Source organism: Homo sapiens, chromosome 7 (assembly GCF_000001405.40).
Source record: "Homo sapiens chromosome 7, GRCh38.p14 Primary Assembly".
Taxonomy (NCBI): Eukaryota; Metazoa; Chordata; class Mammalia; order Primates; family Hominidae; genus Homo; species Homo sapiens.
The window spans coordinates 73,150,509-73,170,017 of NC_000007.14; the positions used below are offsets into that span (position 1 = coordinate 73,150,509).

The 19,509-nt window shown below is 52.0% G+C and overlaps 1 protein-coding gene and 1 pseudogene across 3 annotated transcripts in view, besides 5 other annotated features; one reads left to right on the forward strand and one right to left on the reverse strand.

Moving 5' to 3' along the window:
- Positions 1–4,923, reverse strand: part of SPDYE10 (speedy/RINGO cell cycle regulator family member E10) — a 51,424-nt gene extending 46,501 nt beyond the window's left edge. For both annotated transcript variants that reach the window (NM_001382505.2, NM_001382504.2), the window contains exon 1: positions 4,815–4,923. The gene's annotated coding sequence lies outside the window, so the exon portion shown is untranslated. The remainder of the gene's footprint in view (positions 1–4,814) is intronic.
- Positions 3,517–4,289: an enhancer, noted in NCBI's record as "H3K27ac-H3K4me1 hESC enhancer chr7:72568113-72568885 (GRCh37/hg19 assembly coordinates)". NCBI's record gives its function as "activates a minimal SCP1, AML or CMV promoter by ChIP-STARR-seq in naive H9 embryonic stem cells {active_cell/tissue: H9 hESC(naive)}" and the evidence as "EXISTENCE:reporter gene assay evidence [ECO:0000049][PMID:30033119]".
- Positions 4,416–4,525: a silencer, noted in NCBI's record as "silent region_18244". NCBI's record gives its function as "represses an Ori minimal core promoter by ATAC-STARR-seq in GM12878 lymphoblastoid cells {active_cell/tissue: GM12878}" and the evidence as "EXISTENCE:reporter gene assay evidence [ECO:0000049][PMID:35858748]".
- The window catches only part of GTF2IP4 (general transcription factor IIi pseudogene 4), a 52,373-nt pseudogene continuing 37,279 nt past the window's right edge, over positions 4,416–19,509 (forward strand). The window contains exon 1 of the transcript NR_003580.2: positions 4,416–4,835. The product of NR_003580.2 is annotated as a general transcription factor IIi pseudogene 4 (transcript). The remainder of the gene's footprint in view (positions 4,836–19,509) is intronic.
- Positions 6,603–7,306: an enhancer, noted in NCBI's record as "H3K27ac-H3K4me1 hESC enhancer chr7:72571197-72571900 (GRCh37/hg19 assembly coordinates)". NCBI's record gives its function as "activates a minimal SCP1, AML or CMV promoter by ChIP-STARR-seq in naive H9 embryonic stem cells {active_cell/tissue: H9 hESC(naive)}" and the evidence as "EXISTENCE:reporter gene assay evidence [ECO:0000049][PMID:30033119]".
- Positions 13,894–14,397: an enhancer, noted in NCBI's record as "H3K4me1 hESC enhancer chr7:72578487-72578990 (GRCh37/hg19 assembly coordinates)". NCBI's record gives its function as "activates a minimal SCP1, AML or CMV promoter by ChIP-STARR-seq in naive H9 embryonic stem cells {active_cell/tissue: H9 hESC(naive)}" and the evidence as "EXISTENCE:reporter gene assay evidence [ECO:0000049][PMID:30033119]".
- Positions 14,361–14,975: an enhancer, noted in NCBI's record as "H3K27ac hESC enhancer chr7:74642901-74643515 (GRCh37/hg19 assembly coordinates)". NCBI's record gives its function as "activates a minimal SCP1, AML or CMV promoter by ChIP-STARR-seq in naive H9 embryonic stem cells {active_cell/tissue: H9 hESC(naive)}" and the evidence as "EXISTENCE:reporter gene assay evidence [ECO:0000049][PMID:30033119]".

Consider the following 19,509-nt stretch of genomic DNA (forward strand, 5'->3'; position numbering starts at 1 on the left):
AGGTCAAGAGATCAAGACCATCCTGGCCAACATGGTGAAACCTTGCCTCTACTAAAAATACAAAAATCAGCTGGCATGGTGGCACATGCCTGTAGTCCCAACTCCTCGGGAGGCTGAGGCAGAAGAATCACTTGACCCTGGTAGGAGGAGGTTGCAGTGAGCTGAGATCATGATGCTGCACTCCAGTCTGGCTACAGAGTGAGACTCTGTCTCAAAAACAAACAAAAAAATACAAAAATTAGCCGTGGGTGGTGGCGCGCGCCTGTAATCCCAGCTACTCGAGAGGCTGAGGCAGGAGAATTGCTTAAACCCAAGAGGCAGAAGTTGCAGTGAGCTGAGATCATGCCATTGCACTCTACCCTGGGTGACAGAGCAAGACCCTGTCTCAAAAAAAAAAAAATATATATATATATATATATATATATATATATATATATATATTTTTTTTTTTTTACCAAGACCCACAGTAAAACATACCTTTATATCAAGTTCTAGTGCACATAGGCAGACACACACAGGCACGCACCCCTTACACACATGGACAAGATTAAAGTGCCCTGGGGTATAGAAAAGATGATAGTAACCTACCCATTTTATATGCAACACTGTGTCATTTTCTAGTCTATTTAAAATTTTTTTTGTGTTTTTTTTTGCCGGGAATTTTTCCATTTTGTTGAAGAGACGATGTCACTCTGTTACTCAGGCTAGAGTCCAGTGGTACAATAATAGTTCACAGCGGCCGGGCACAGTGGTTCACGCCTATAATCCCAGCACTTTGGGAGGCCGAGGCAGGTGGATCAAGAGGTCAGGCGTTCAAGACCAGCCTGGCCAACATAGTGAAACCCCGTCTCTACTAAAATAAAAATAAAAATAATTAGCTGGGCATGGTGGCAGGCACCTGTAATCCCACCTACTTGGGAGGCTGAGGCAGGAGAAATGCTTGAACCTGGGAGGCAGAGGTTGCAGTGAGCCGAGATTGTGCCACTGCACTCCAGCCCGGGGAACAGCGTGAGACTCCATCTCAAAAAAAAAAAAAAAAAAAAGAAAGAAAGAAAAAAAAAAACAATAATAGTTCACTGCAGCTCCGAACTCCTGGGCCCAAGGGATCCTCCCACCTCAGCCTCCTGAGTAACTAGGACTACAGGTGCACGCCACCACATCTAGCTAGTTTCTTATATTTTTATTTTTGTAGAGATGAGCAGTCTTGCTATGTTGCCCAGGCTGGTCTCAAACTCCCGGCCTCAAGAGATCCTCTTGCCTTGGCCTCCCAAAATGCTGAGATTACAGGCATCAGCCACTGTACCCAGCCTGTTTAATTATTTTTTTAAATAATTGCCATGCCCTGCTAAATTGATTTCACCATCCACTACATGGGTCATACACAGTCTGCAGATTGAAAAATGCTACCTTAGGCCATCCAGAGCAGAAGTCAGAAAACTAGCCAAATCTTGCCTTTAGCCTTGTTTTGTTTCACCTGCTTTTTTTTATTGTTGTTGTTTTGTTTTTTGTGTTTTTTTTTTTTTTGAGGCAGAATCTCATTCTGTCGCCCAGGCTGGAGTGCAGTAGTGCAATCTTGGCTCACTGCAACCTCTGCCTCCCAGGTTCAAGTGATTCTCCTACCTCAGCCTCCCAAGTAGCTGGGATTACAGATGCACACCACCATGCCTGGCTAATTTTTGTATTTTCAGTGGAGACGGGGTTTCACCATGCTGGCCAGGCTGGTCTTGAACTCCTGTCCTTGTGATCTGCCTGCTTTGGCTTCCCAAAATGCTGGGATTATAGTTGTGAGCCACTGCACCCTGCCAGTTGTTTTTTTTTTTTTAAGAAACTGAATTTTATGCCTTCAGGCAGACTTCCCTTCACCTGTACCATTTCCAACATTTTTTTTTTTTTGAGATGGAGGCTCACTCTATCACCCAGGCTGGAGTGCAGTGGCGCGATCTCAGCTTACTGCAGCCTCCACCTCCTGGGTTCAAGCGATTCTCCTGCCTCAGGAGAAGGCACCACCATGCCCAGCTAATTTTTTTGTGTTTTTAGTAGAGACGAGGTTTCACCATGTTTGTCAGGCTGGTCTCAAACTCCTGACCTCAAATGATCTACCCTCCTTGGCCTCCCAAAGTGCTGGGATTACAGGCGTGAGTCACCGCGCCCAGCCACATTTCCAACTATCTGATAGCCAACTGCTTCACACATCTGTGTAATCTGTCTGGCCCCTGAATGCATTTCTGTTTGGGATTTCTGGATCTCTAGATTCTAAAGGCATAGATAGGTGCATTGATGCATTCCACAAATATTGAATGAGTGTCTCTCATAGGCCAGTCACTATTGCTGACAATGGGAACACAGCGGAGAACAGACAAAAATCACTGCCTTTGTGGAGTTGAGATTGTGTAGGGGAGAGACAGATAAGCTTTAAAAAAAAAATGCTGAGGCTGGAGGATCACTTGAGGCTGGGAGTTCGAGACTAGCCTGAACAACATAGTGAGACACCCCTCTCTACAAAAAGTAAAAAAAAAGGCCGGGTGTGGTGGCTCACGCCTGTAATCCCAGCAATTTGGGAGGCCGAGGCGGGCGGATCATGAGGTCAGGAGATCGAGACCATCCTGGCTAACACAGTGAAACCCTGTCTCTATTAAAAATACAAAAAAATTAGCCGGGTGTGGTGGCGGGCACCTGTAGTCCCAGCTACTCGAGAGGCTGAGGCAGGAGAATGGCGTGAACCTCGGAGGGGGAGGTTGCAGTGAGCCGAGATCGTGCCACTGCACTTCAGCCTGGGTGATGGAGCAAGATTCCGACTCAAAAAAAAAAAAAAAAAAAAAAAAGGCCAGGCATGGTGGCTTATGCCTGTAATCCCAGCAGTTTGGGAGGCCGAAGTGGGTGGATCACCTGAGGTCAGGAGTTCAAGACCAGCCTAGGCAACATTGCGAAAAATACAAATATTAGCCAGCCGTGGTGGCCAGCACCTGTAATCCCAGCTAGCTGGGAGGCCAAGGCACGAGAATCGCTGAACCAAGGGGGAGGAGGTTGCAGTAAGCCAAGATCGCGCCATGGCACTCTAGCCTGGGCGACAGAGCAAGACTCCATCTCGGGGGGGAAAAAAGAAAGTTAAAAAAAAAAAAAAATTAGCCAGGCATAACTGTAGTCCCAACTGCTGGGGAAGCTGGGGTGGGAGGATCTTTTAAGCCCAGGAGTTCGAGGCTGTAGTGAGCTATGATTGCGCCCCTGCACTCCATCCTGGCCAACAGAGCAAGACCCTGTCTCTAAAAAATAAATAAATAAAAGAAAAAGAGTAAAAGAAAATAAAGTGGGAGGGGGATATGCATGCTCTAAGATCTATCTACCACAGATTACAGGCTTTTCACCCTTTTGTGGAAATGACAAAACCTAGTATGTTCCTACCTAACAGAGGAGGGCTGAGGGAAGGTGAGGGAGCACAACTGCAATTTTCCCCTGAAAAAGAGTTCTCAGCCTGCCCTGGCAGATAGATCTCACCCATCGCGTCCCCAGATTACTCTGCCAAAGGTGGAAGCACCAATCACTTTAACCCAGAACATTTCAAAACCAGACAGCCATGAAGGAGGAACCTCTGTGGTCCGGGCGCGTGGGCCCTGGGGTTGGAAGTGCCTCAGACGCACTTTACATTTTCCCCGAATTCACCCTTCGCAGTCCCCATCACCCCCTCTCCAGTGGGATAAATGGCCACCTCATTAGCTCTGCACACATGACCCTCCCGACCTGACTCCTGGTGACTATGCCTGCCTTATCTCTTTTCTCTCCTCCCTCACATTTTCCGCTGCAACAAAGCCAAACACAGCACCGTGGGGGCTTTCACGCTTCTGTGCCCTAGGACACGCTGTTCCTGCAGCTTGGAAGGCCTCTGTCCTCCATCCGCGCGCCCTCACTCTCTTGCTAGGAACTCCCATTCATCCTTCAAAACCCAGCCTGAGTGTCCCCTCCCCCGGGTCACCCCCTTTGACCTGTCAATCCCCTCCCTCCGGGTCCCCAGCAAGCTTTTCGGTTTGGCTTCTCCGCACTCTCATGACCGATTGCCCTACATCTTGGCGCTCCCAGACTCGGGCCTTCTCCAGCACCGGAGTCGTCTGGTTTGCTCGCTTTACACTCCAAGCACCTAGTACCGAGCCTGACTGGGTGCCAGAGGGCGCGCCTAGGCTCAGGCTGGCTCCACCCGCCCCGTGCCTCCCCTCGGCCTTCCCCTTAGTCCTGAGGGTGCCCGCGCTCCTGCATTTCCCGTGCACCGGGCTGCCGGTAGCTCCGGCCGCCCAGCCCCCGCGGCAGCAACAGCAGCAACAGCAGCAGCAGCAGCAGCACCGGGGGAGCCCCCCCAGGCGGACTACAAGTCCCGGCAGGCCGCGCGCGGGCCGCGCATGCGCAGCGGGGACCGGCGTTTGAGTGGCAAGTTGTTTGTTACAGCGAACACCAGCTGCTCCCCCCGCGCCGGGCGCCGCGCGCCGCTGCTCCGCCGCTCGGCCCCTCGGCTGCTGCTCTGCCGGCGCTGCCTCCCTCGCCCCGCGGCTCCCCCTTGCAACTTGGCGGGCCTCCTCCCTTTTGTCCGGCCCGGCCCGGCCGCCGCCGCCCCCCGCGCCCGGCGCCGAGCTCCCGGGTCTCCGGGCCGGCTGTCGGTGCCGGCAGGGCGCGGAGGGGGCGGGGGCCGCGGCTCGTCCCCCCGCGGATGAGCCGCCGCGGACGGGGCGCGGGCGGACGATGGAACTCCACATCCTGGAGCACCGGCTGCAAGTTGCCAGCGTCGCCAAGGAGAGTATCCCGCTGTTCACCTACGGCCTGATCAAACTTGCCTTCCTGTCCTCCAAGACCAGGTAAGCGCGCGGGGACGCGGCGCCGGCCGGGGACAGACAAAGGGGGCGCACCCCGGGCCGCTGTCCTCGCCGCCGCGCCTCGGAAAACAACTTCGGGCCCCGGGAGCGCCCCCGCCCCGCCCCCGCCGCCGCTTCGCTCGCGTCTGACAAAGCCGGAGCCGCAGGGTCCTGGCTCCCGGACCCCTCGCAACCTTCCACCCCCCGGTGCGCCACCCCCCACCTCTGTCGTCCCCCCATCTCCCACCCCCTCCCCCATCGCAGCCCCCTCCCCGAAATCCGGGGGGCTGGGGCGGCTGCAGTGACGGATCCGTGAATGGATGAAGGAACGAACGAATGAATGAATGAAAAACAGGTGTGGGGACGAGGCCGTGGAAAAAACAAACGCCCCCATCCCCCCATCCCTCGGTTGGGCCGGCCCCGTCGCCACGGCGGGGGGAGGGATTCCGCTGAGCGCGGTTACCCAGAGCAGAAAATCATAAAATCATTAGTGGGTGTTTATCTCAAGGTGCCTACGAGGCTTGCTGCGGACGGCCTGGAATTGCGGGGGGGAAACGGGGGGTGGGCGAGGGCCAGGGAGGGGCTGCAGAGGACGTGATTCTTTCTCCTTGGGGTCCTGGAAAGGGGGTGGGGGGGTGTTTTGCCCAACCGTAGAAGGGGAGGAGCAGGCATGTTTATGCATCTGCCTTGAGGCTGGGCTTGGATGCTGCAGGGGGAAAAATAGTTGAAGGCCTTGGAAGGTAAAAGAGGGAATCACACACACACACACATACACACACACACACACACACACACACACTCTCTCTCTCTCTCTCTCTCTCTGTCTGTCTCTCTCTCTCTCTCTCTCTCTCTCTCTCTCTCTCTCTCTCTGTCTCTCTCACTTGGATTTTCCCTATGCCAGGTAAGGGTTTGACATTGTGAGCCCCGGTGGGTGCTTGCATTAGGGTTTTGTTGTTGTTGTTTAAGGAGCCTGAGCCGAGGGGAGTGTGAGTGCCAGCTAGCTGCTGTAACTTAAGTCTCATTTGCCCACCATTGTGACTGTTAAAAAGGAATGATAAAGTTGTTACTGGTTGGTTTTTCGCGGTTTGGGGCGGTGGTGGCTCTCCCTCACTGCAAAATGAATGAATACTTTTCGGGTCAAGGTTAGCGTGAAAATGACAGCCCCCTTAGGCTGCCCCCTTTGGCACTGAGCTCTAGGGACACAGGGAAATAATTCCAGCCTGTTATCTGCCTGTGAAAAGTTCTTGCTTGGAAATCTCACTTTGATGTGTGTGTCTGAGCCGGGTGCTCAGTCCGGCTATTGTTTGCGAGATGGAGCCAGACCTGCCGGTGGCATCTTGTTTACTTTCGTCTCCGGCTGCTCAGTAGGGGATGGAGATTTGAAATAGTCGCCAAGCCTCTGCCACGGAGCCTGTGCTCCCCGTTGATTGCAAAGGGTAATGATTAAACAGGTCATTTGAAAACAAAAGCCAACAGCTCGGATTCTGAACCGCGCCCCCACCCCTCACACAAAGCCCCCTCTGGCTATTGACACCTTCAGATCCTGCTTCTGCCTGCCCTCTGCCCCCCACTCCCTAGCCGGGCTTGACGTTCCAAAGCTTGGAGGTAACAGAACAGCCTTGTTTTTCCTAGCCTTGGCCCTCAGCCCTGGGCAGCCCCCTGGCTGATTTCTCGGCCACCATTCAAATGAGAATGATGACTCAGGCTGCGGCTGTGCACAGGGCCTGGGTGCTGGAAGCGGGGGGCATTTGGGGGCTTCTTAGAAAGGCAGCAAAGGGCAGGGTCCCTCAGCCCCTTTCCCTTGGTGGAGAGACTGGCCTTCTTCCAGCCCCCAACTCAGGATCCCCTTTGGGTACTCATGGATAGGCGTGTCTCTGGGGTCAAGCCCCCCTGCTGGCCTCTGGGAACACAAGAAGACCTGTCCCTCAGTGGGTCCCCCTTCCTCCCTCCTGCAGAAAGCAGCCTGTCCTGTCCCAGGCCCAGGTGACCCAGCTGACTAGTCCAGTTTCAAGATGACTCAGAGGCCAAAGGCCATCGCTGTGTTTCCATGGTCCGGCCTCAGAAGGTGCGGAACATTCGTCAAATGCCTGAGGACCTGCCACCCCATGCACTCTGAGCCCAGATCATGGCTTCAGGTCATGTGTGACCACAGCCCCCTGCCTGCCTGGCTGAGGCGAAGTCTGTCTCCTCTGGCTCACACTTCGTCCGTCTGTAAAATAGAGATAGCACTATTTGGCCCCCTCATGGACACAGAACTGCTGTGTGGATGGTGTGGGACGATTGTGGGAAATGGCTTTTTAGCAAGTGTTAATGGGTTGCAGCCTGCCGACATAGCATTTAAACTGTTTTCAATAATCAGCCATCCAGGTAGAACCCCTTAGATTGTTCCTGCAATACCTGCCCCTAGGTGGTGACCCATAGCTCTGTCACCTCCCTCTCCAAAACCTAAGTTTAGCCCAGACTAGCACAGCATGCCCTGAGGGTCCCTGTGCCACCTGTTTACTTTTTTTTTTTTTTTTTTTTTTGAGACTGAGTTTTGCTCTTGTCCGGGCTGGAGTGCAATGGCGCCATCTCGGCTCACTGCAGCCTCCACCTCCTGGGTTCAAGTGATTCTCCTGCCTCAGCCTCCCGAGTAGCTGGGATTACAGGCATGCGCCACCACACCTGGCTAATTTGGTGTGGAGACGGGGCTTCTCCATGTTGGTCAGGCTGGTCTTGAACTCCCGACCTCAGGTGATCCACTGGCCTCGACCTCCCAAAGTGCTGGGATTACAGGCGTGAGCCACCGCGCCCGGCCCGTTTACAGTTTTGTCAGTCACTCTATAGCATCAAATCATTGACATGGCATTCGAGGCCCTTTGGGATCTAGATCCTGAATCCTCATCTTTATTTTTTTTATTTTTTATTTTTCTCTTTTAGAGACAGAGTCTTGCTCTGTCGTACAGGCTGGAGTACAGTGGCGCCATCATAGATCAATACAGCCTCCAACTCCTGGGCTCAAGCAATCCTCCCACCTCGACCTCCCAAAGTCCTGGGATTACTGCTCCTGGCCTTGAATCCTCATCTTTAGCCCTCCCCCAGCAAATACACAATTTCCCTTATTGTTCCCTACATACCTCTGTGCCTTTGTATCTACCTCTCTTCCATTTGCCTGGAATATTCTCCCCCACCCACCCCTAGTAAATTCCTATTCAGTCCTCAAGAGCTAATGATAGCGCTAATGATAGCATGCTGAAACCTTCCTGAACTTTTCCCTCCGCTCCTTAGCAGGCTTAAGTCACTTCTCTCTCGTGGAGTGGAGTTGTGGAAAGGGAATGGCATTAGGAAACATTCACTCTGTGTTGGGGTGTGGCTGGGTCCAAGGGATGCAGAGATACCTTGCCCCTTCCTCTGCCAAGCCCTAGAGCCTGGTGGAAGAGAAAGAAAGAGGCCATCATTCTACAGCAGGGTGGAGTCAGGGAAGGGCTGGTCTAGCAGGGTACCTAGAACGCCGGGTGCCTACCTGTAGGAGGTGGCACTAGATCTTAGAGCTTTTTTTTGTTTGTTTTTAAGAGATGGGGTCTCTGTTGCCCAGGCTGAAGTACAGTGGCACCATCATAGCTCACTGCAGCCTCGAACTCCTAGGCTCAAGCAATCCTCTCACCTCGGCCTCCCAAGCACCTGGGACTGCGGGTGCGCACCACCACACTCAGCTAATTTTTAAATTTCTTGTAGCGATGGGGGTCTCACTGTGTTGCCCGGGCTGGCCTTGAACTCCTGGCCTCACATGATCCTCCCACCTCAGCCTGTCAGAGGTGCGTGCGGACATAACATTTAAACTGTTACAGGCATGAGCTTACAGGCATGAGCCATTGGCCCTTAGGGCTTTTGAAGTAGGAAAGCCAGTGGCTCACATTTGGAGTTAACTAGTTGGAAGAGAGGATCTAGACCCCAGGACCCCCAGGTACGTTCTGTGTATTAGGTATTAAACCTGCTTTGCAAACCAGGAAGCTGGGGTTCAAAGATTAAGTGACTTGCTCAAGGTCAGGCAAGAAGTGATAGATCCGGGATTTAAATGTGCCAATCTGCACCTTTCTGGCACAAGCTCTGAGATTTTGCTATTGTAGGTTGCAAGAGATGCCCCCATTGAATGGTTATGTCCAGCCCTTCTGTCTACAGCACAGTGTTCTGAAAGGCTTAGGAGCACAGAACTGAAATGCTGGCCTTTCTGTATTCCTGCCTATTTGGCTTTGGTGGGCCTTTTCTTTTTTTTTTTTTTTTTTTGGAGATAGGGTCTTCTTCTGTCACCCAGGCCGGAGTGCAGTGGCGTGATCACGGCTCACTGCAGCCTACACCTCCCGGGCTTGAGTGATCTGCTACCAGAGCTGTTTTCTTCTCCCAGGGATACTTGGTCCTTATCACTCCCATCTAGACGGTTACTTCCTTTTTTTTTTGAAACGGAGTCTTGCTCTGTCACCCAGGCTGGAGTGCAGTGGTGTGTTCTCAGCTCCCTGCAACCTCCACCCCAAGAAGCTGGGATCACAGGCGTGCGCCACCACGCCCGGTAAATTTTTGTATGTTTAGTAAAGACTGGGTTTCGCCATGTTTGCCAGGCTGGTGTCGAACTCCTGACCTCAAGTGATCCACCCACCTCGGCCTCCCAAAATGCTGGGATTACAGGCGAGAGCCACCGCGACCTGCTTAGACATTCTACTTCGTTAGAGCCTTAGAGCCTATCTCAGATACTTTCTTCCGGGCACCTTGCGTATTTCTCAACTTTTGCCGATAACAACATGTTATTGGCTTGTCTTTTTCTCTTACCTAGATTATCAACCTTCAAGTTTTTTGTGCATGATTTGATCCACCCCTTCCCACCACATCACCACAGTACCTACCAGTGGTGATGAGAGCTACCGTTGACTTTGCCATATTTTGCAGAGCGGTGAAGACACTAGCTTTGGAGAAGTACAATGGCAAGGTCGCACAGCTGGAAAGAAACAGAATTGGGATTTGAACTAGGTCCCGTCTCCGCTGCGTGTAGCACCCTGCTTTGTAGGCACTTAGTAAACGTCTGTTTGATGGATTTCTGACCATCAGAGTGACCCAGATTTCAACCCAAGTATTTGCCAGAGTCTCATAGGAGTGCCCTGGGGCTGGAAGATATGTCGTTGTAGAAGGCAGGATCACACCTGCTAGAAGCAGAGCCCAGCGACCCTGTCCCGGGTCTGCTGAACCAGGCCTCTGCCCAGGACCTTTGGAGGAGCATCTGGGTGTGGCTGGACTAGGCGAGGAATGTGCTTACTTATTCTCAGCATAAAGCCAGAAGGCAAGACCCTGGGTAGGTCTGTCCGATGAGCTTCCCTTGTCCTCTGTGGTAACCCTGAGGCTCTGTGACCTAGCTGAGGGCCCTCTGTGGCCCACCTCACCTTGTCTCTCCAGCCTCACCTCGAAGCTTCCAGCCACACCCTAGCGTGCCTCCAGCCTTCAGGCCTTTGTTCTTTCTGCCCAGAGTATTACTTCTTGCCTTACCCCTTTCTTCCCCGTGCATCCTTCTAGATTCCATTTCAGCTTCCCTGAGGGCACGTTGGGCTCACTCTTCTTCTGGTAGGACGGGCTTAACTCAAAACGATAAGGCCAGACCCAGTGGCTCCTGCCTATAATCCCAGCATTTTGGGAGGCTGAGGTTGGAGGATCCCTTGAAGCTAGGAGGTTGAGACCAGCCTGGGCAACAAAGCAAGACCCCATCTCCACAAAAAAAAATTTTTTAAAATAACTTTTTAAAAAATAGCCAGGCATGGCGGTGCACACCTGTCTCAGGAGGTTTGGGTGGGAGGATCACTTGAGCCCGGGAATTTGAGGCTGCAGTGAGCTATGATGGTGCCACTGCACTCCAGCCTGAGCGACAGAGACCCTGTCTCTGAAAAATAATAAAAAAAGAAGAAGAAATGTAACCAGGGGCTATCAACAAGGATGCTTTGTGGTTTTTGTTTGTTTGTTTGAGATGGAGTCTCACTTGGTCACCCAGGCTGGAGTATAGTGGTACAATCTCGGCTCACTGCAACCTCCGCCTCCCTGGTTCAAGCAATTCTCCTGCCTCAGCCTCTGGAGTAGCTAGGATTACAGGCACCCACCACCATGCCCGGCTAATTTTGTATTTTTAGTAGAGACGGGGTTTAGCCGTGTTACTCAGGCTGGTCTCGAACTCCTGACCTCAGGTAATCCTCCCTCCTTGGCCTCCGAGAGTGCTGAGATAACGGGCGTGAACCACTGCGCCCAGCCAGCAAGGATGCTTTGAGCTACAAACAACAGAAAGCCAGGACATAACCAATAAGAAGTTTGAACTTTGTGTGATCAGAGTTTATGGGTTGGGCTGCCCCAGGCTTGGATAACTTAAAGGCTTGATGAGGTCATCAATTTATGCTTGGCTACCCATGGCACAGAAGCATAGCCCCACTGTGATGGCTGGGGTGGCTCCGGGCATCCTGGGCAGTCAGGAGGAAACTCCATGAAGGAAGGAGCTAACCTTTCTGGGGGTACCCCTATCCCAGCACAGACTTCCTCATCTCATTGGTCAGAACTGGGTCACATGAACATGCCTCAGCCTATCACAGGCACAGGGAATGAGACCATCATGGACCAATCAGGATTCACCACTCAAGGTGGGGCCTGCCATCCGGATGGATGCTCTCCGCCACAGGGAGGTGGGGGACCCAGAAGCTGTGGGCAATGGCCATGTGCACAGTAGGACTGAGGCACTCAGTCCCGTAGCTGACCTACCTGGGACAGGCCTGGAGGCTGACTTAGGTGTGAGGGGCAGAGAGATTACTGTGCACAGACCGCTGTGTGACCCCAGATCTAGGTGGGATCCCGGTGTGCCCCATCTGCCTGGCTTACCCCAACCCCTCTGGAACCTGAACCTACTCCCAGAGTCCCCTCTGTTTTTTTATTAATATTATTATGGAGACATCTCTTTATTTATTTATTTTGGAGACAAGCTCTATTGCCCAGGCTGGAGTGCAGTGGCACCATCATAGCTCACTGCAGCCTCAAATTCCTGGGCTCAAGGTATCCTCCTGCCTCAGCCGCCCGAATAGCTGGGACTCCAGGCATGCAGCACCACACCTGGTTAATTTATTTTACTCTGTTTTTAGTAGAGACAAGGTCTCACTGTGTTGTCCAGACTGGTCTTGAACTCCTGGCCTCAAGCAATCCTCTCACCTCGGCCTCCCAAAGTGCTAGGATTACAGGTGTGAGCTACCATGCCTGGCTAATTTTTGTATTTTTAGTAGAGATGGGGTTTCAACATGTTGGCCAGGCTGGTCTCGAACTCCTGACCTCAGACGCTCCACCTGCCTTGGCCTCCCCAAAGTGCTGAGATTACAGGTGTGAGCCACCATGCTCAGCCAAGCAGCACTCTCCTTTTTGCCCATGAAATGCTGTTATCTTTAAATTCCATTCTAGAAAGTCCATTGGATTGGCAAAAACTACACAGGCAAGTATGCAGTAAGCATGGGCCCATGGAAACTTCCTGCTGCCTTCCTGGGCCGGATCTGCTGAATGCAGGTCTCTGGTTTGTTTTGGCCTGCACTGGGTCATTCGTGTTCCTACATGCAGGAAATCTTGCAAACGAGCCATGGTGAACACTAAAGTCTTTTGTTTTTTTTTGTTTGTTTGTTTGTTTTTGAGACAGAGTCTTGCTCTGTCGCCCAGCCTGGAGTGCAATGGCGCAATCTCGGCTCACTGCAACCTTCGCCTCCCAGGTTCAAGCAATTCTCCTGCCTCAGCCTTCCGAGTAGCTGGGATTACAGGCGCATGCCACCACACCCAGCTAATTTTTGTATTTTTAGTAGAGACGGGGTTTCACCATGTTGGTCAGGCTGGTCTCGAACTCCTGACCTTGTGATCTGGCCGTCTGGGCCTCCCAAAGTGCTGGGAGGCGTGAGCCACCATGCCCGGCCAGTGAACACTAACGTCTTACGAGGTATTTATGAGAGAAAAGCTTAAAATTGCAAAAAGTCCATGCAGAGCCCTCATTCCTCGCAACACATTGGGCTGAGGCCACTGTCTAATTGCAGTTTAGGGAAAGACAGGCTATCCCAAGGGAGTTAGAGCCCTGGGACACCTGGGCTGGAATCCCAGCACTGCTCATCCTGGCTGTGTGACCTTGGGCAAGTTGCTTGACCTCTCTGTGCTATGTTTCTTACCTGTAAAACAGAGATGATGATCATGCCTGTAACGTAAGTGGTTGTGAGGGCTTGATGAGATAAACCACGTCAAGCACTCTCAAGAGTATCTGGTCCACTAGAAGCTCCAGTAAGCTTTTTTTTTTTTTTTTTTTTTGAGACAGAGTCTTGCTCTGTTGCCCCGGCTGGAGTGCAGTGGCATGATCTCAGCTCACTGCAACCTCTGTCTCCCAGGTTCAAGCGATTCTCCTGCTTTAGTCTCCCAAGTAGCTGGGATTACAGGTCTCTACCACCATGCCTGGCTAATTTTTGTATTTTTAATAAAGACACCTGGAACTCCAAAAGTGCTGGATTACAAGTGTGAGCCACTGTACCCAGCCATTAAGCATTAACTGGGAAGGCCCTGGGGCCACTGGCCAGCACCAGTTTGTGAGGGCAGAGCCAGAAAAGCCCAGGCTTAGAAGACTACACACACACATAATCGCATCCTGATTCTGGAAAGTGGAGATGCTGTCACTGCTCTCGCAGAATTAAGCCAAGGACCTCACCTGTCATTTAGGTGTCAGGCCTCTGGCAGGGGCAGCCAAAATGCTCTAGGACCACAGAGCTGCAAGCCAGTAAGGCTTCCTAGAGGAGGCAGCACCATCTGAGCCAAGAATGGGGTGATGGCTGGCATGAGAAAATGTCAGGAGGTGCTGGGGTTAAAGCAAGATGAGCAAGCAGGGAACAGGAGTGGGTGGCTACAGATGGATCAGGGGAGGGGTATAGGTGAAGAGGGTACGGGGTGAGCCCCAGAGCCTTGCGTGTGCCCACTCAGGACAGCCATAGTCTGCTGCTGCCCAGAGAAAGGGGCTGGCTCAACCCTAGCTCCCAAATCTTTTTCCTATGCCTTTTTCCTTTTTCCTCATCTCTTTCCTGAACTATCCAGATATCTTCCTGCCTCCTGCCTCCTGCTTCTAGGGCGGCTCAAATGCTCATTGCTGCCCCATCCCTCTGGGCTGGAGGAGCAAACGCCTGGAGGCTGAAAGAGTAAGTTGTCTGCAGGGAACAAGCCACTGTCCTGTGGCGGGTGCAAATTGGTATGCTCTGTTCACTGAGAAACCCCGCAGTGTATACCTGCGGTAGGCAGGGCCTGATAGGAAGCGCGAAAGGAGTTTCTGTCCCATGGGAGGAAAAGACGTGAGTCCTGTATGTTCTCCAGCAAAGGTAGAGGGTGAGAGGACCAGAGGCCCACACAGGGGGCATGGCTGGGAGTGCAGGGGCAGGGGGTAGTCTGGGAGGATGGAGGGACACAACTGGAGTGGGTGCTGGGTGGACTTCATGCATTCCTTCAGAAGCCCTGGCCACATCTCTGCCTTGTTGGTTTTGTTTGTTTTTTGAGACAGGGTCTCACTCTGTCACCCAAGCGGGAATGCAATGGCGTGATCTCAGCTCACTGCAACCTCTGCTTCCTGGGTTCAAGTGACTCTTGTGCCTCAGCCTCCTGAGTAGCTGGGATTACAGGCGTGCACCACCATGCCTGGCTAATTTTGTGTATTTTAATAGAGACGGGGTTTTGCCTTGTTGGCCAGGGTGGTCTCGAACTCCTGACCTCAGGTGATCCACCCACCTTGGCCTTCCAAAGTGCTGGGATTACAGGCGTGAGCCACCACTCCCGGCCTGAATCTTTCTTGATCAGATGTCTTCTGTCTATCCACTCTGGCTCTGTCTACTCCCTTCCCAACACATGCCCTATTTTAGGTAACCATGGTAGTTTTGTTTTGTTTTGTTTTGCTTTTGTTTTTGGAGATGGAGTTACACTCTGTTGCCCAGGATGGAGTGCAGTGGCACGATCTCGGCTCACTGCAACCTCTGCCTCCTGGGTTGAAGTGATGCTCCTGCCTCAGCCTCCTGAGTAGCTGGGGTTACAGGTACCACCACCATGCTCAGCTAATTTTTTGTATTTTTAATTTAGATGGGTTTTCCCAGGTTGGACAGGCTGGTCTTGAACTCCTGACCTCAAGTGATCTGCGCGCCTTGGCCTCCCAACGTGCTGGGATTACAGGCATGAGCACTGCGCCTGGCCAACCGTGGTAGTTTTTAGATTTTTTGTACAGAGGGGGTCTCACTCTGTTGTCCACGCCGGTCTCAAACTCCTGACCTTAAGTGATCCTCCCGTCTTGGTTTCCCAAAGTGCTGGGATTACAGGCATGAGCCACTGCTCCCAGCTGCTGGTGGTTTTAAAAGCTAGGATTGGCTGGGCGCAGTGGCTCACGCCTGTAAGGTCAGGAGATCGAGACCATCCTGGCTAACACGGTGAAACCCCGTCTCTACTAAAAATAGAAAAATTAGCCAGGCGTGGTGGCGGGCGCCTGTATTCCCAGCTACTCAGGAGGCTGAGGCAGGAGAATGGCGTGAAGCCGAGATCGCGCCACTGCATTCCAGCCTGGGCGACAGAGCCAGACTCCATGTCAAAAAAAAAAAAAAAAAAACCTGGGATCCCTCCACCCCCCTCTCCTTTAAATGTCTGTCTTGGCTACTTTCTTCTAAGTCACTAGGAGATGGTAAAAGCAATACCATGAGACTTCCGAGGCTAGGGCACGAAAGGATGGCTTCTGCGTGGTGCTCCCTCTCTCCCAGATCCCTTGCTCTGTAGGAAACCAACCCCCAAGGCCTGAAGACACCCAAGCAGCCCCATGGAGAGGCCCATATGGAGAGGAACTGAGGCATCCCACCCCCAACCGGCAGCTCGGGGCTTTGAAAACAGATCCTTCCGCCCCAGGCAAGCCTTCCAATGGATTGCAGCCCCAGCCAATGCCTTGAACTGCCAAGTTCAGCCACACCTAAATTCCTAACCCATAGGAACTGTGAGAGATAATAAAAGTTTGTTGTTGTTTCAAGCCACTAAGATCTGGGGTAATTTGTTATGTAGCAACAGATAAGGAATGAAATGACCCTGCCATTTATCATTGAGATGGGAATAAACTTTTTTTAGAATAGCAGGAAGTACTTTAAATAATTACTAGATTGGCCAAGCACAGTGGCTCACGCCTGTAATCCCAGCACGCCTGTAATCCCAGCACTTCAGGCTGATCGCTTGAGCTCAGGAATTGGAGACCAGCGGAGGCAACATGGTGGGACCCCGACTCTGCAAAAAATACAGAAAAATTAGCTAGGCATGATGGCGCCTGCCTGTGATCCCAACTACTCAGGAGGCTGAGGTGGGAGGATTGCTTGAGCCTAGGAGGTAGAGGTTGCAGTGAGCCGAGATTGCACCACTGTACTCCAGCCTGGACAACATAATGAGACCCTGTCTCCTCCTCCTCCCCCTCCTCCTCCCCCTCCTCCCCCCCCTCCCTCTCCTCCTCCTCCTCCATCGCCATCATCACAATAATAACAACAACAACCTGCAGACAATAAGGCAAACCTGACCATGTGATCACCCTACCTTTAGTCCAGCCAGAGAAGTCTTGTGAGTCCTTAAACCTAACACAGACACTTCTTGAGGTCGGCTTCGGCATCCTCTCCTCCAGGAAGCCACCCTGGTGCCTGGTGAGTGGCTTCCTGGGATCACCCATGCCTCAGTGTGCAGGATGAGAGGGCTGGTCCTGATCCCCTTCTGTCCTCACCCCCAGGTCCATGTCCAGGGCTTAGGACTGGTCGTCCCTTGGTGTTGACTCATCTCCCAGGGATCAAAAAAGTCAGTTGTAGCTGGGCGCAGTGGCTCACGCCTATAATCCCAGCACCTGTGGGAGGGCCAAGCGGGTACATCGCCTGAGGTCAGTAGTTCGAGACCAGCCCGGCCAACAAGGTGAAGCCCTGACTCTACCAAAAATACAAAAATTAGCCGATGTGGTGGTGGGCGCCTGTAATCCCAGCTACTGGGGAGGCTGAGGCAGGAGAATCGCTTGAACCTGGAAGGCAGAGGTTGCAGTGAGCCGAAATCGTGCCACTACACTCCAGCCTGGGTGACAAGAGTGAAACTCCATCTCAAAAAAAAAAAACAAAAAAACACCTTGTAAAAGGTTTAATTGGTCTCTCTTCTGAGCCTGCACACGGCTGGAAAGGTTTTCTCTTATAACAGATCTGCAGTATGAGAAACCAGCCCAGTTGCATCCGTTCTGGGCCAGTGGGATTCTGGGTGTCCAAGGTCCCTGTGGGCCATCTACGGTGCTAAATTGAAACTTTTTGAAAAGCATTTTTTTTTTGAGATGGAGTCTGGCTCTGTCACCCAGGCTGGAGTGGAGTGGTGAGATCTTGGCTCACTGCAAACTCTGCCTCCCGGGTTCACGCCATTCTCCTGCCTCAGCCTCCCGAGTAGCTGGGACTACAGGCACCTGCCACCACGCCTGGCTAATTTTTTTGTATTTTTAGTAGAGACAGAGTTTCACTGTGTGAGCCAGGATGGTCTCGATCTCCTGACCTTGTGATCTACCCGCCTCAGCTTCCCGAAGTGCTAGGATTACAGGCATGAGCCACCGCACCTGGCCTGAAAAAAATTCTTGAGACAGGGTCTCACTGTGTCACCCAAGCTGGAGTGCAGTGATGCAATCTCAGCTCACTCCAGCCTCGATTTCTCAGGCTCCAGCAATCCTCCCTGCCTCAGCCCCACTGAGTAGCTGGGACTGCAAGCACTCGCCACTACACCCAGATAATTTTTGTTTTTTTTGTAGAGATGGGGTCTCGCTATGTTGCCCAGGCTGGTCTCGAACTCCCGGGCCCAAGTAATCCTCCTGCCTCAGCCTTCCAAAGTGCTGGGATTACAGGTGTGAGCTACAGCGCCTGGCCTAAATGGAAAACTGGTGTCTAGGTGCCATATTCTCAGGCTTGCCCTCACCATAACACATTGAACATACTCCAACCTCTGAGCTAGATCTCTGCATCTCTGCTTAAAAGCCTGAGGTTTTGCTTGCACACCCCAATTTTTTTTTTTTTTTTTGGAGACAGGGTCTTGCTGTCACCCAGGCTGGAGTGCAATGGTGCGATCTTGGCTCATTGCAACTTCCATCTCCTGGGTTCAAGCAATTCTGGTCCCTCAGCCTCCCGAGTAGCTGGGATTACAGGTGCACGCCACCACGCCTGGCTAATTTTTGCATTTTTAGTAGAGACGGGGTTTCATCATGTTGCCCAGGCTGGTCTTGAACTCCTGACCTCAAGTGATCCACCAGCCTCGGCCTCCCAGAGTGCTGGGATAACAGGCATGAGCCACCGCGCCTGGCCATGCACCCACATTTACAGCAACCTTATTCACTAAGGCCTAAAGATGGAAGTGACCCAGGTGTCTACTGATGGATGAACAGATCAACAAAGTGGGATGTATTCACACAAAGGAATATTATTCAGGGGGGAAAAGGAAGGAAATTCTGACACATGCTACAACATGAATGAACCTTGAAGACATCATGCTGAGTGAAATAAACTAGTCACAAAAGAACAAATACTGCATGAGATCCCACTTGTATGAAATACCTGGTGTAGCCGGAGTCATAGAGACAGAAAGAATGGTGGTTGCCAAGAGCTGGGGAGTTGGTGTTTAGTGGGTATGGAGTTCCTGTTGGGTAAGATGAAGAGTTCTAGAGATGGATGGTGGCAATTGCTGTCCGTATTGAAAATGTGCTTAACACGATTGAATTGCACACTTAAAGATAGTTAAGATGGTAGGTTTTGTTGTGTGTATTTTACCACAATTAATAAAATTTGAGGCCAGGTGTGGTGGCTCATGCCTGTAATCCCAGCACTTTGGGAGGCTGAGGTGAGTAGATTGGTTGAGCTCACAAGTCGGAGACCAGCCTGGGCAACATGGTGAAACCTCATCTCTACAAAATATACAAAATGTAGCTGGGCTTAGTGGCGTGCACCTGTGGTCTTAGCTACTCAGGAGGCTGAGGTGGAAGGATCGCTTGACCCCGGGAGGTAGAGGCTGCAGTGAGCCGAGATTGTGCCACTGTACTCCAGCCAGGCAGTAGAGCCAGACCTTGTCTCAAAAAAATAAAAATAAAAATTAATGTTTAAGATTTTATTTTATTTTAGATTCAAGAGGTACATGTGGATGTTTGTTACATGGATATATGGCATACTGGTAGGGACTGGGCCTCTAGTACGCCCATTACCCAAATAGTGAACATTGTACCCGATAAGTAATTTTTTTAACCTTCCTCCCCTTCCCAACCTCCCCTCTATTGGAATCCCCAGTGTCTGATGTTCCCATATTTTTTTTTTTTTTGAGACGGAGTCTTACTCTATTGCCCAGGCTGGAGTGCAGTGCAATCTCGGCTCAGTACAGCCTCTGCCACCTGGGTTCAAGTGATCCTCCTGCCTCAGCCTCCCGAGTAGCTGGGACTACAGGCATGTGCCACCACACCCAGCTAATTTTTGTATTTTTTAGTAGAGATGGGGTTTCACCATGTAGGCCAGGCTGGTCTCAAACTCCTGACCTCAGGTGATTCGCCTGCCTCGGCCTCCCAAAGGGCTGAGATCATACGCGTGAGCCGCTGCTCCCGGCCATGGCAGATCCTTCTTGAACACCCACTATGCAT